The following is a 15,114-nucleotide window of genomic DNA, read 5'->3' on the forward strand; positions in this document are numbered from 1 at the left end:
AAGTAACTTTGCGTCAATTTTCAAATAAGGCATTCTTGATTAAGTGTGGAGTATATACAGGGAGACACAATTTATTCCATTCAGGAGGACAGTTTTCTCTGGAAAACGTGACCTTCAGTGCATTAGGATAGGTGAAGTGCATGCACCGTCAGCCACAAATCCGTTGTTTTGTTTAATCATATTTAATCATAAAATAATTATATAGGTTGACTTTTAAAGTGTTTTTTTTTTTTAAGTAGAGTGGACTTTGGAGACTATCTGCTGACATCCCCAGTGTGAATTGTGAAGGTTTTCCTTGAATTCATCTCAAAACAACCATGTTAAACTCATATAATTACCTTTTTGAAAGGAATATAAAGATAGTATATTCCTGGAATGCCTGTGACGTAACATAATTGATTTCATTAAAGCATTTGCCTAATTTTTCCATTATCTTTGTGGCTGGAATAGATTAGTAAATAGTAAATAGATTTGCAGCTAGATAAATATTTCTACCCAAAAATATTCTTTGGTGGCTTAGTATTAATTACATCCTAGGACTCTTTCATACCCAAGTTTTTATCATTGATTTGGGTGAAGATTTAGTGACTGGCCTGTCAAATCTAGGTAGCGCCAAGAATCAAGGTTCAAAGTGATCTTGACAAGAAAGTGCAATCAAAATCATCATGAGTTGAAATTTAATGAAGATTAACATCAAGACTTAGATTCATTAGATTGAAATAATCAAATTACGTGAGTACTGGATTGGGAAGATCTAGGTGGACAGGGTTTTAGTTGACCATAAACTTAGTATGAGCCAATTGTGTGTTAAGACTCAGATACAGGAAAGTACTGGTACTACTGGGCTGCCTGTTTGAAATAAAACTGCTAAGGCATTTTGTAGGCTGTTGATAAACTCAGCCACATCCCACAACTGAGATGGTGGAAGGTTTTAAAAACAACAGTTAAAAAAAATACTGGGTTGTTTAATCTGAGGAGAAAGTAAGTGGAGACATCCCTGCCTAGAGATGGTAGAAGGCTGTCCTATGGGATTAGCCGTATTGCTCCAGAGGGAAGGCCTAGTATATAGTGGGTGGAAATCAGGAGATGTATTTCAGTTTAAAATGACCTACTTATGATGTAACAGCTCTTGGATTTATGCATCTCTTATTATGGAATGTATTCAGATAAAGGCAGGATGACCAACTGATGGAAGTGTTTTTAAAACTTTTTTTTTTTTTTTTTTTTTGCTCAGTGGGAAGGTCTCAGATTCTGTATCTGTCTCAAGAAGCTATTATTGGAGACATAAGTAACCTCTAATTCGGTTAGTTGAAATTCCTATTAAGACTGATCTCTGTCACAGTCAAAATACTGAGAATTTGTGTTTTACCAGCAGGTGGCACCTCCTGCCTGCTGCCTCAATTTTAATCTTTACCCTTGGTGAGGAACCTCACCTTTTCCTTAGAGTCAGAATATGTAAGGCTATTCACTATTTTTGCTTTTCTCCAAAGATCAATCAATATTTGTCCTGTCTTAGTTATAGAAAATAACTTTTGGATCTTGTCACATTTTGGACAGGTTGTGGCTTTTATTTATCTGAGAAAAGATTTCAACCTATAATTATAATTTATTTGTATCATAATTATTATGGTAGGATAAAAAGGAATTACAGTGTTTTCTGTCTCATACATCTTGAGACTTGCCTTTTCTTCTGGCTTTCCTCATATGCGTTTATATATGTTCAAGTGTTTCCCACCCTAAAACTAAGTCAAGCAGCAAACAAATTCTTTTGTTTGCCTCACGCCGTCTCTAATATCCTATGCTTTCTTGTTCACCCATTCTTTATAGAGCCAGACATCTTACAAGAGCTGTCTCTGGCCAGGGATGATGGCTCACACCTACAATCTCAGCATTTTGGGAGGCTGAGGCGGGTGGATCACTTGAGCTCAGGAGTTTGAGACAGCCTTGGCAACATAGTGAAACCTTGTCTCTACAAAAAAAAAAAAAAAAAATTAGCTGGGAATGGTGGTGCACAGCTATAGTCCCAGCTACTCTGGAGGCTGAGGTGGGAGGTTCACTTGAGCCCGGGAGGTTGAGGTTGCACTGAGCCAAGATCACGGCACTGCACTCCAACCTGGGTGACAGAGCAAGACCCTGTCTCAAAAAAAAAAAAAAGAGTTGTCTCCATTTCCTTACCTCCTTCTCATCCCTTAACCTATTCCATGTCTATAAATTCTGTGGACCCTTTTATTTCTCATCTTACTGGTCCTCAGCAGCATTCAGCACATGAAGACTTCTTGAAATAGTCTGTCCATTTTTGGCTTCCCTGATATCATGCATTCCAGTTTTTTCCCTACCTCTCTGACTGCTTATTGATTCTCTTTGTTTATTCTTCTTCCTTTTCTTTACTTAACCAAGAAATGTTAGGATTCTTCACAATACCCTTCTATTTTTATATCAATGTTTGTCAAGATGTCTGTGTACCATTTACTTCAAAATCATTTGAAGATATTTGTTAAAAATGCTTTTTTTTTTTTAATTTCCCAGGCCTACTGAATCAGACTCTCTGGGATTGGTGACCAGGATTTGTAGTCAGCTTTCAAGATGTCCCTTAAGCACATTAAAGTTTACAAATCACTGCTTTACATTCTTCCCTAGGTGATATAGGCACATGGCTATCTAACCAGTGTTAACAACCTAGATTGCTCTTCTGAATTCTGAGGTCTATAGAGTAAGTTGCCCATTTACATTTCTGCTTGGATGTTTTGTAGGTACCTCAGACTCTGTTTCCTCACAAAGCCTTTTCTGAGGATTCCTGTGTTAGTGAGTGGATCCACCATGCACCTAATGCAAATTGGGTGATTCTTGTCTTTTACTTGTTCCTGGCTATTCTGCCTCCTGACAGTTTCTCTCATCTGTTTCCACCATGCTGTTAATTCTGCCACTATCCTAGTCTAAGTGCCCATCATTTCCCTCTTGGTATATTATAGAATTCTCCAAATCGATCTCTTTGTACACATTCTTACTGTACTTCATTTCATTTTCTACACAGCAGCCAAAGAGAAATGTATATCAAATCTAGATATGATGCTTTCCTAATTTTAAAATATTTTAAGGACTTCCTATTGTTTCTGAGGTAGAGACTAAATTCCCTAACATTTTCTAAGGCTCTGCATGGTCTACGCTTGCCTAACTGCTCCTAATTCTCTGTATTGCTGTTATACTAGAGTTCTTTCCAGTGTCTTAACATCCCTGTTCTCTCTTTACCCAGAGCCTTTGTGCACAGTGTTCTCTCTGCATAAAAAATCCTTTCTCATTTCTTTGTAGCTCAACTAGCTCTGTTTATTTTCAGGTCTCAGTGTAATTGTCCCCCAGATTAACTCAGATCCATTTCTTTCTAAAATACTATGCACTGAAGTCACTCATTCAATGTCAGTTTTCTGCAGCTAGCCTATGTATGTTTAGGGACCTGTGTAAGTTTAGGAACATGTCTGTTTTTTGTCATTGCCGTATGCCCAGCATCTGGTTCAGTGTCCTTGATAAATAGTTGTTGAGAGAATTTTTAAAAATATATGAACTTATGTTGTAGAGCTTGCTTTGAAAGCATGCTTTCAATTTAAGAGGTTTGAGCTAAGAACCAAATGTAGGACTTAGTATTTGCAACACATATGTCATAATGATGGCTCATGTGGTGTGCTGTATGCCTGATGGCTATCTTATTTAGTCCTTATAACGTACTTGAGGAGTGCTTATTATTTACCTCCATTTTCCAGAGGAAATAGACACACAAAGGGGTTGAGTAACTTGCCCAATATCATTGAACCGGTGAATAGAACCACCATAGATACACACCCAGGCTGCCTGGCTCAGGAGCCTCGACCCTGTACTGTACTATGTTTCATCCCACAGTTTATTCTTTGATAATCTCAGACCAATGTGTTGTTATGTAACTCACTTTGAAACAGAGAGGACTAAGTAATTTATGAGTTTTGGGAGGATATTGAAATATATGAAAAAGAAAATACAAATGAATTTTAGCATAACCATGGTAAATATACCTGAACAATTGACTGATTTGAGTTGCTAGCAGTGTTTTCAAACTAAGAAACCACTGCTAATCAGTTAACTGTGGAAACAGTATTTTGGGTTATTTTATTTTGCTATGCTTAATATATGTGTTTTTATTTGTTTTTGAAACAACGTAGAGGTATAAATAATGAGGCATTTTAATGCTGTAATGTGAATCAAGCTTAAAGGATTTGAAAAATAATATAATTTTAAAAGACCCTTTTTTTTTTTGAGATGGAGTCTCACTCTTGTCCTCCAGATTGGAGTGCAGTGGCATGATCTCGGCTCACTGCAACCTCTGCCTCCCGGGTTCAAGCTATTTTCCTGCCTCAGCCTCCTGAGCAGCTGGGATTACAGGTGCCCGCCACCACACCCAGCTAATTTTTGTACTTTTAGTGGAGATGGGGTTTCGCCATGTTGGCCAGGCTGGTCTCAAACTTCTGACCTCATGATCCACCCGCCTCGGCCTCCTAAAGTGCCGGGATTACAGGTGTGAGCCACTGCGCCTAACCTAAAAGATCTTAATGAAGCCTTATGTTAATCGTTACTAAGCTCTCCTTCCAGCTTCATTTCACATTTCTATGAGGGTCAGATAATTCAAGGCTATTTTTGTAGCAGCTGTAGGCATATATTTTTGCATTAAGAGGTAATGTCAAAGAGTGGACAGTGACTACAAGCCAAACACAGAGCGAGGCAGTAGGAGCTTTCCTTGTCTAACCCATACCTCCTCTGAGAAGATTTGAGGAGAGGAAAAGAGTGTTGATGTCTAGCACATTGCCCTATCCCTGAGGCTTGATTAAAGTGCTGGTTCTGAGGAGTCAGGTCTTTCCTAGATTATTTTATCATCATACCTGAAAGAAGAAAAGAAAAATACATACACACATATACATGCAGAGAGATAATCTAATCTATATTGCTGTTTGGGATGTTTGTATACCAATCCTGGGGATACCAGCTGCCTAGCTCTGGTAGCCTGTGGAGATTTATCTGTGTGTGTATATCTGTGTGTAGATAGATATGTTTATCTGTTTTGGTGTATGCGTGTATACATATGTATGTATATATAATTTTGAATCATTTTCACACAGTCAAGTTTTCCTTATCTGATAGTCTTTTAGAATATAAATTAAGAGAATTAGTACCATCGCTCCAAAAAGCAAAGGAATCTGCATCTGTTATTTCTTTTCAAATCATCCCATGAAATAGGGAAAACCAGAGATTATGTCTTCACTTCACAGATGGTAAGATAGTCACAATGCAATAAAATGATTTATTCAGTCACTCAAACCATTGACAGGCTCAAATTTAGGTTATCTGTCAGCTCAGTTTTTTATTTGTATATCCACATTGCCTTCTTTAATACATCTTAAATATACATGAATATCCGACAAGAGAAGCAGTCTTTTTTGGCCCATTATAGCCCATACATTGAAGAAGAGATTAGAGAAATAGTTACTTGTTTTCTTTTTTTTAATTTTGGAGACCCCAAATTCAGTGATTTCTTGCATCCTGCAAGCTTTTGAGACTGAGTAGAATATTCTTAATATTCTTAAAGCAGGTATTGCTCACAGTGTCTATCTCGAAAGCCCTTAATCTGTCAGCATCCTGTAGAGAGGCATATGTAGACCAGGTCTGGCTGTATGAACTGAGGGCTTTGCTGCAAGAGAAGGACTTGTTCTTTCCCATTCTGCTTTCTTTCAGGGCTCTCATGAGAGGAGCCTTCCAAATGAGTTTAGAGGGATATTATCTGAGCTTGGGCACCAGCTACTCCAGGTGGTTGTTTACTAGTCCGGGAAATGCCAGCTGCCCAGCTCTGTGGAGCAAGGCAACTCTGTGAGGATTCTGTAGGAAGTTGAGTCTTTGTGTAGCCCTTGCCAGTTGGGAGATGGAGAGCTACTGATCCCACTTAGCTCATTTTCAGGCATCTAAGAGATTGCCATCAGGGATTATCCACTGGACAATATAGTTTGTCTCTCTGTAATCTGATTCTGGGAAGCAAAGCTTAAAATATGGAAATAGATTTGGCTTTAACTAATACTCTGTTTTACTTATGGTTTTAAATGTTCTAAATTGATAAAGACCTGGCTTCTTTAAGAAGCCAGATTGAAAGTGTTAATTTGGATGGTTTTGCCTTAATTGAGTTAGGAACAGTTAGTGGCAGGCATAAAAAGTATGTGTATTTGGTTTTTTTAAAATTAGTGATTTTGTGATATTTGTAAATTCATACTCAGTTGCAAGAAATAATGCAAAGTGATCCCATACCCTTAAACCAATTTTCCCCAATAAGAGAACATCTCATGAAACTATGGTACAGTCGCATAACCAGGATATTGATATTGATAAGGTAAAGATACAGAACATTTTCATCACCACATGGATCCCTCATTTTACCCTTTTATAGCCACACCCACTTCTCTTCTGCTCCCACCCCCTCCTTAACCTCTGATACCCAGTAGTCTGTTCCTCATCTCTATAAATTATAATTTCAATAATGCTATATAAATGGAATCATAGAGTGTGTAACCTTTTGGGACTGACTCTTTAAACTCAGCATAATAATTCCTTAGTGATTCACCCAGGTTGTTGCACATATCAGTAGTTGGTTGCATTTTATTGCTGGGTAGTATTCCATAGTATGGATGAGCCACAGTTTGATTAACAATTTTACCGGTTGAAGAATATCTGGGTTGTTTCCAGTTTGGGGCTGTTAAAAATAAAGTGGCTCTAAACATTTCTGTATATGTTGCTGTGTGAACATGTCTTCTTTTCTCTAGGAGAAATGTCCAGGTTTACAATTGTTGGATCATATGATAGTTGAATGTTTAATTTTAAAAGAAACTGCCAAATAGTTTTCCAGAATGCCAGTACCATTTCGCATTCCCCTAGCAGTGTGTAAGTGATCCAGTTTCTAGTCTACATCCAGCATTTGATGAAGTCACTGTTTTATTTTAGCTATTCTGGTAGGTGCATAATGGTATCTCATTGTGGCTTTAATTTGCATTTCCCTAATGACTAATGATGTTAAACATCTTTTCATGTGTTTATTTGCCACATGTATATCTTCTTTTGTGAAATGTTTCTGCATGGGTTTTGCCTCTCTTCTAACTGGATTGTTTCTCATCATACTGTTGAATTTTTAGGGTTTTAATATATTCAAGGCACTAGTCCGTTATTGGACTTGGTTCTCCCAGTTTGTAGCTTTCTTTTCATCCTTCTTAACAGGATCTTTTGCAAACCAAAGGTTTTAATTGTGATGAAATCCAATTTATCAGCTTTTCCTTGTATGATTGTGCTTTTGAAATCAAGTCTCAGAACTCTTTGCCTAGCCTAAGATCCTGAAGATTTTCTCCTATGTTTTTTTCTGGAAGTTTTAACAGTTTTGTGTGTAACTTAAATGTGTGATCTATTTTGAGTTAATTTTTACATAAGATATGAGACTGAGGTCGAAGTTCCTTTGTGTGTGTGTATAGATACCTAATTGCAGCATTATTTGTTGAAAAGGCAATACTTTCCTTCTTTCCTCCACTCAGTTGCTTTACCAGCTTTGTCAAAAATCAGCTGGGCTTATATAGTGAATCTAATTCTAGGTTTTCTATTTTGTTCCATTGATCCGTGTGCCTATCCCACTGCCAGTACCACATAATCTTGATAACTGTAGCTGTGTAAGTCTTGAAATTGGGTAGACCGATTCCTCCTCCTTTATGAAAATTGCTTCAACTATTCCAATTTCTTTGACTCTCCATATAAATTTTAGAATAATCTCGTCTATATCTATGAAAAATCTTGTGGGAATTTTGATATAAATTACATTAAACACATCAGTTTGAGGAGAACTGATATTTTTACTATGCTGAGTTTCCTAGTTTTTCCATTTATTTCACTTTTTTTGTAATTTTTAGTATACAGGTGCTATACATGGTTTTTTAGATTTACGCCTAATATTTCTTTTTTTCTTAGCAGTTTTAAATGGTATTGAATTTCTAATTTTGGTATTCATATGTTCAGTAATGGCATATGGAATGTTTATTTTATATTCTGCAATCTTGTAGAACTCATTTATTAATTCTAGAATGCTTTTTGTAGATTCCTTGGGATATTCTATGTGGACACTCATGTCATCTGCCAACAGAGACAGTTTTTTTTTTTCTTTCCCAATCTGTGTGCTATTTTTTTCCTTTTCTTGCCTATTGCATAGGCTAAAACTTCAGCATTGTATTGAAGAGAGGTGAGAGCAGACATCCTTGCCTTGTTCCCAGTCTTAGGGTAAAAACATTTGATTTTTCACTATGAAGTATAATATTAGCTGTAGATTTTTTGTAGTTACTTCTTATCAAGTTGAGGAAGTTCCCCTCTATTACAGTTTTTCTAAGAGGGTTTTCATGAATGGATATTGAATTTTGTCAGTTGCTTTTTCTATGTAATTAATATGATCATGTGATTTTTTTTCTTTAGGCTATTGGCATGGCATATCGTAATGATTGGTTTTTGAATATTGAACCAGTCTTGCATCCTGGAATAAACCTCACTTGGTCATGAGGTATAATTCTTTTTATGTAATTGTGAATTATCATTCCTAATATTTTGTGAAGGACTTTTACATCTTTATGAAGAACATTGGTCTGTAGTTTTTTTTGTAATGGCTTTTCAGGTTTTTGTATCAGGGTAATACTAACTTAACAAAATGAATTGAGAAATGTTTGCTCCTTTTCTGTTTTGTGGAAGGGATTGTATAGGATTTGTTTTCATACTTTTTAAATGTTTGGTACAATTCTCTAGTGAAACCATCTAAACATGGAGATTTATTTTTGGGGGATTTTAAGTTATGAATTCAATTTCCTTAATAACTATAGGGGTATTCAAATGAGCTGTTTCATGTTAAGTGAGTTTTGATAGTTGTGTTTTTTGAGAAATTGGTGCACTTCATGTAAATTGTCAAATTTATGTGTGTAGAATTTTCATAGTATTCCCTTATTATCCTTTTGATGTTGTCAATGTCTATAATGATATCCTCTGCTTCATTCCTGATGTTTTCTCTTATTCTTTGTCAGTCTTGCTAGAAGTTTGTCAGTTCTAATCAGGAAGATAAAACACCTTAACTAAAAACACCAATTATATCCAAATTGCTAAACGCAATAAATATTTTTCAGATCTTGTTCATTCTCAATTCTGTATTAAATAGCAATGATTAGTTCTTCCTTCTTGAAAGCCTATATCCTGTAGATATCTGTGACTGTGTGCCCTTCTGATTTTAAACCCCAGTGACTTTTCCTGAATCAGTTTGTTTCTATCCTCTGACCATTTCATAAATATTGGTCTTCCTCAAAATGTAGTCCCTTTGTGACTGCTTTTCATCTCACTCTATTGTCCTTGGACAATTTTATTTCTATTCATTGTTTCCTCTGATAACTTAGAAATCTGTAATTCTAACCCAGATGTTTCAGATTACTATACTCAATTTCTTGTTATTCAACATCAAAGTGAAGGTGTTCCTCAGATCTGCTGTGGACCAGATTGTACTTAACTTCTTCCTTCTAACACCTCTTCCCACATTTCTTATGTCATCTTGTGACCTCTTCATTCAACCATCACTTAAACCAGAAACCTAGGAATTATAGACTCCTCTCAATGCCTTCCAAACCATGATCAATCTGTCACCAAACCCTATAGTTATAAATAATTTTGTCCACGGTTCTTTATACCTGTTGTCAGTACTCTAGTTTAGTCCACCATTTTTTTTCTTTGATGACTGTAATAGCCTTGGTTTCCAGTCTTGGTTTTTCAGATGCCCCCACCCTACAGTCACCATAGTGATCTGTCTAAATGTATGAATCTGATGATTTCACACTCCATTAAGCCCTACAGTATATCCATAGTACTTAGTACCAGGCCAGGCACTTAATTCCTTATTTTATGCCCTTAATTATTTTAAATATACTTTAAAATATAGTTTCTACCTGATAATTATATTATTTGAAGTCTTGGGGTATACTACTGCCCTTTATAGTTCCTCCAGACATTCTTGTATGGTACATTATTTAATGAAGTGTTTTCAAATTTTTTATTTTGAGCACATATTCAGTAGGACTTTATCAGTAGCTATTTTGCCTGTGTTTAGGGTGATCTCTGGGGAGTTTTTGAACTTGCTTCTTTCAAGTATCTGAGGAGTATCCTTTTTCAGGATCACTTTTTTTTATACTTTAAGTTCTAGGGTACATGTGCACAACGTGCAGGTTTGTTACATATGTATACATGTGCCATGTTGGTGTGCTACACCCATCAGCTCGTCATTTACATTAGGTACATCTCCCAATGCTATCCCTCCCCCAGCCCCCGACCCGCCGACAGACCCTGGTGTGTGGTGTTCCGCGCCCTGTGTCCAAGTGTTCTCATTGTTCAGTTCCCACCTATGAGTGAGAACATGCGGTGTTTGGTTTTCTGTCCTTGTGATAGTTTGCTCAGAATGATGGTTTCCAGCTTCATCCATGTCCCTGCAAAGGACATGAACTCATCCTTTTTTATGGCTGCATAGTATTTTCAGGATCACTTTTTATGTGAACCTCTTGGCTCAGTTGTTCTCATACTAAGGAGATAGTATAAATTCAAATCCCAGCTCTACCTGTAGACAGGGTCTTGATTACAGATTCTTGGTGAGTATAAATTTACCCCCTCTGAGCCCAGGCTAAGACAGACAAACTTCCTTGTCATCTTCCTATGCTAACAGGCAGATTTTTTTTTTCTAATTTCCTTTCATTGAGGATGTGGCTTTTTAAGAATCCCAGTTTTAGGCAGGTCCTCTGCTTCATTTCCCTCTGTTAAAAGGGTTTGAGACCTCAGCTTCTTTCTGGCATTAAAACCCAAGCTCTTCTGTGACCAGCAAACCTACACGATAGGATTGGTAACAGCTTGGAACTTACTGCTTTGGTTTTCAGTTCCCTTTTCACTTTTGGACCTGGGTATTGCCCTTACTATCTTAGGAGCTCAGCTATGTATTTTAAAAGATGTTTATTTTCTCTAGCATTTCTAGGGAAGTCCTCCTGCCACCAACTCCCCATTACCTAGCCCACTGTATTCTCAGTCAGGGTTGAGATTTGCTGTAGCTCTAACACTTTTCAAATCTATCATTTTACCTCCTGTTTTTGAAGAATCAAATCTACATGTAGTCATGAATAATATTCATAAGTAAAGGAAGCAGGATGGATCAGGGATAGCCCTATAATCCTTTTAGGATTGTAGGTCCTTCTTTAGTCACCTCTCTCTCAAATAATAAGAGTTCCTTAGTTTTGACCTTTTTATCAGACAGGTGTTAGTATGTGGAGCTCTTTTTCACGTAGTGCCTTCTCCCTCCTGATGAGATTTCTGCCCAGAACATAACCCTTCCAGGATTTTTAAAGGGAAACCATTTCCCTGTAGTCAGCAGAAAAGGAAAGAATACTGCCGAAGTTTGATGCTTGGTTACTTGACAATTTCCAGTCATAATAAGCTACTGTTTCTCCCTCAGACTCTTTCCATTGAAAAGGGTCAAAATTATGGATTATCATTTACTTGATACGTGTGTGTACATGATGAATTTAAAGCAATAAAAATATTATGAAACTGAGAAGTTAAATCAACGTTACAATAGCAGGTTTGGAGGATTGTGACAAAATATGGGCAACCTAAATCACCTGAGCCACCAGCAGGACCAACTGTATCCCGTTATCAATTTGATTTATTTGCTTATGGTTTTCTTTTTTTTGCGAGTTTTCTTTACAGATCTGTGAGACGAATGCATATTTTCACCTAGTATTTGTTTTAATGATATTGTAAACTCTTGATAAGCTTGTAAGATATATGTAGTGTTTTACTTAAATAACAAAATTTACTTATTTTCCCATGTTGTTGAATGTAATTCATATTTCTTTTTTTTTCTTTCCCATTTTCCCTTCCCCTCCTTCTTCTGCTCCCTCTGTTAGAAAGATGCAGTGAACACCTTAATGCATTAAAATAATTTTTATTCTTAAACATATTTAGGGTACATTTCCAGAAATAGAATTACTAGGTCAAAATGTTCTGTTTTTCAGACTTTGACACATAATGCCAAATTGCTTACCAAAAGCATGATATGAAGTTATATCCTCCTAACAATCTAAAAGCATCTTAAGCAGACCTGTCATTATCAGTGGACCACTGGACAGGGTTGTGGGGCTGATGCTTTCTTTATGGTTCCTCTACAGGATATGGTGCCTGTCATAGTTGATTACTGCCTTCTGCTGCAGCGAAAGTGAGTATGCGTTGCCTGTCACATTCAATTATTTTGAACCCAGGTAGCCTCTTATGTATAAGCCATTGCTAAGAATTCTATGAATTTGACTGAATAGATTTAAAAATATTAATTTATAGAAATTTGATTCTTTAACAGTTTTCAGTTCATTTACCTAATAAAATTAACTTCCCTAAGACAGATGCTATGGATATATCATTTATTTGTCTGTGTGGCAGGATATTGGAGATAAAGAACGTAACTAGCAAAAGAGCAATACTACTTAGGGGTTTTAAAAGTAAAAAGTGTATGATTCATTATATGTATATATATATACACACACACACGCATATATACACACACATATATATATACACACACACATACACATATACACACACACATATGTATACACACACACACACATTCTTCTTTTTTTGGTATATATACTTTTTTTTTTTTGAGACGGAATCTCGCCCTGTCACCCAGGCTGGAGTGCAATGGTGCGATCTCAGCTCACTGCAACCTCCGCCTCCCGGGTTCAAGAGATTCTCCTGCCTCAGCCTCCCTAGTAGCTGGTATTACAGGCATGCACTGCCACACCCGGCTAATTTTTTGTATCTTTAATAGAGACGGGGTTTCACCATGTTGGCCAGGCTGGTCTCAAACTCCTGACTTTGTGATCCACCCGCCTCAGCCTCCTGAAGTGCTGGGAGTACAGGCGTGAGCCACCATGCCTGGCCTGGTATATATGCTTTTATGAACCATCACTAGAACATAGTATTTTATACTATTCAAAAAAGGCTAGATTCATTGTGCTTATGCAGTACTATTTTTTGTTTGTTTGTTTAAAATAAATCAGTATAAATAAACTCTTGATTAGGCTTTGTTAGTTTAAATTGTAACTATATAAACTAGCCAACCTGGCTGGACGTGCTGGCTTACCCCTGTGATCCCAGCACTGTGGGAGGCCGAGGTGGGAGGATTCCTTGAGCCCAGGAGTTTGAGACCAGCCTGGGTAATATAGGGAGACCTTGTCTCTACAAGTAAATTTTTAAAAAATTAGTTGGGCATAGTAGCATGTGCTTGTGGTCTCAGCTACTCAGGAGGCTGAGGTGGGAGGATCGTTTGAGCGCAGGAAGTCAAGGCTGCAGCAAGCCATGATTGCACCACTGTACTCCAGCCTGGGTGACAGAGCAAGATCCTATCTCAAGAATAAATAAAATAAAAAATAAACCAACCAACCTGTGCTAATGCACAGGGTTTTTTTTTTCTTTTTTTTTTCCACACTAATAATGATAACCAGGTATTGTTCTAAACGCTTTACATTAATTTATCTAATTTTTGTAGCAATTTATTTTTATAACAGTGAGGTAGGGATTATTATCATCCACATTTTATATAAGATGTGCCAAAGCCAGAAAGTGATTAAGTTACTTGCCAAAACTCAGTCCCACAGCTTTTGGTGGCAAAGGTGGGATTCAAATGCATGAGTCTAGCTCCTGTGTTCTTGGTTTTAACCACTAGCTTGTACCACTTTGTAAGTGATAGAGAACAAATGTGAAGATTTAATGTAGATGCTCCCAAAACCCTATGCAGCATGACTTGGTTCATGAATTTATGTAAATTCTAGTAGCCTGATTCAGAAAAGGTTGGGTCATACTTTGAAGCATCAGTAAAGATTGTCAAGAGGGCAGTAATTTGCTATGTCAGACCTTTGATGAAGTCATAGATAGCTATATAGTAAGTTCTGCTTACTTGGGGCTCAAATTTATTCCAGTGTTTTAACTCTAGTGTTACGTAATTAGCAAAACACATCGTGTTTACAGTAGGGATCTTGTTGAGAACATTACTTTTTTTTTTTTTTTTGGAGACAGAATCTCGCTCTGTCGCCCAGGCTGGAGTGCAGTGGCGTGATCTCAGCTCACTGCAAGCTCTGCCTCCTGGGTTCACGCCATTCTCCTGCCTCAGCCTCCCAGGTAGCTGGGACTACAGGCGCCCGCCACCATGCCCGGCTAATTTTTTGTATTTTTAGTAGAGACAGGGTTTCACCGTGTTAGCCAGGATGGTCTGGATCTCCTGACCTTCATGATCCACCCGCCTCAGCCTCTCAGAGTGCTGGGATTACAGGCATGAGCCGCCGCACCCGGCCAAGAACATTACTTTATATTACACATGGTCTGCTTTATGAGGGCCTACGGGAGAAATTTCTTTCCGGTGTTAGGGCCACAAATACCTTTGTGTCTCTTGAATAGCTAGTTGACTTTTAGCTGATGGACAGTGATTGTGTAGTTAATCATTGTTTCCTAGAAAGCAAAGCGCCATGATATGTCTGCTAACCTGACCCTATCTTTTTCTAAATTAGTTTTCTCTTTACCTCACTTTCACACTCAATTCCTTGTTATATGTCCTGTATTTTTAAAGCAGCCTTAATAGGTTATGAATCAGTTTTACATATTCTACTTAACCCTCATAAATACAGTGTAAAGAGAGAAAATGTTATCCTCATTTTCAGATGAGGAAGTGGAGGTGTAGAGGTATTTCTAGTACTAATAAGTACTGGAATCAACTCTGATATTCAAATTGAGATAATTTATAAATGAGATGAAGTGAAGTGCCTGAAGGACTAAATTTTATTTAGAGTAAAACGGCTTATTTTTATAAAATGGACTATTTCTACCTAGAATGATACCTGACACAATATAGCTATCCAATACCTGATGGTTGAACTGATGAAGTAATTCTGCCTCCTGGTTTGCAGGGTGACTTGTGATCATTATCTTGAATACTAGAATACTGTCACAGTGACATAAAGTTGAAGTGGGCCT

General features: G+C 37.2%; 1 protein-coding gene across 25 annotated transcripts in view, besides 1 other annotated feature; it reads left to right on the plus strand.

Moving 5' to 3' along the window:
• VPS8 (VPS8 subunit of CORVET complex) overlaps positions 1–15,114 on the plus strand; it is a 240,449-nt gene that overhangs the window by 61,684 nt on the left and 163,651 nt on the right. For 23 of the 25 annotated variants that reach the window (NR_146113.2, XM_047447824.1, XM_024453426.2 and 20 more), the window contains one exon: positions 12,261–12,307. Coding sequence is in view for 23 of the 25 variants with exons in the window: in XM_047447824.1 (XP_047303780.1) it covers positions 12,261–12,307 (47 nt within the window). In the remaining 2 variants the exon portion in view is untranslated. Of the gene's footprint in view, positions 1–8,558; positions 8,585–12,107; positions 12,308–15,114 lie in introns of those variants that run through there. The other 2 variants (XM_011512600.4, NM_001349297.2) reach the window with 2 other exon arrangements.
• Positions 10,965–11,014: an enhancer, noted in NCBI's record as "active region_20916". NCBI's record gives its function as "activates an Ori minimal core promoter by ATAC-STARR-seq in GM12878 lymphoblastoid cells {active_cell/tissue: GM12878}" and the evidence as "EXISTENCE:reporter gene assay evidence [ECO:0000049][PMID:35858748]".

The sequence above is a fragment of the Homo sapiens genome, chromosome 3 (assembly GCF_000001405.40).
Source record: "Homo sapiens chromosome 3, GRCh38.p14 Primary Assembly".
In the NCBI taxonomy this organism is placed as follows: Eukaryota; Metazoa; Chordata; class Mammalia; order Primates; family Hominidae; genus Homo; species Homo sapiens.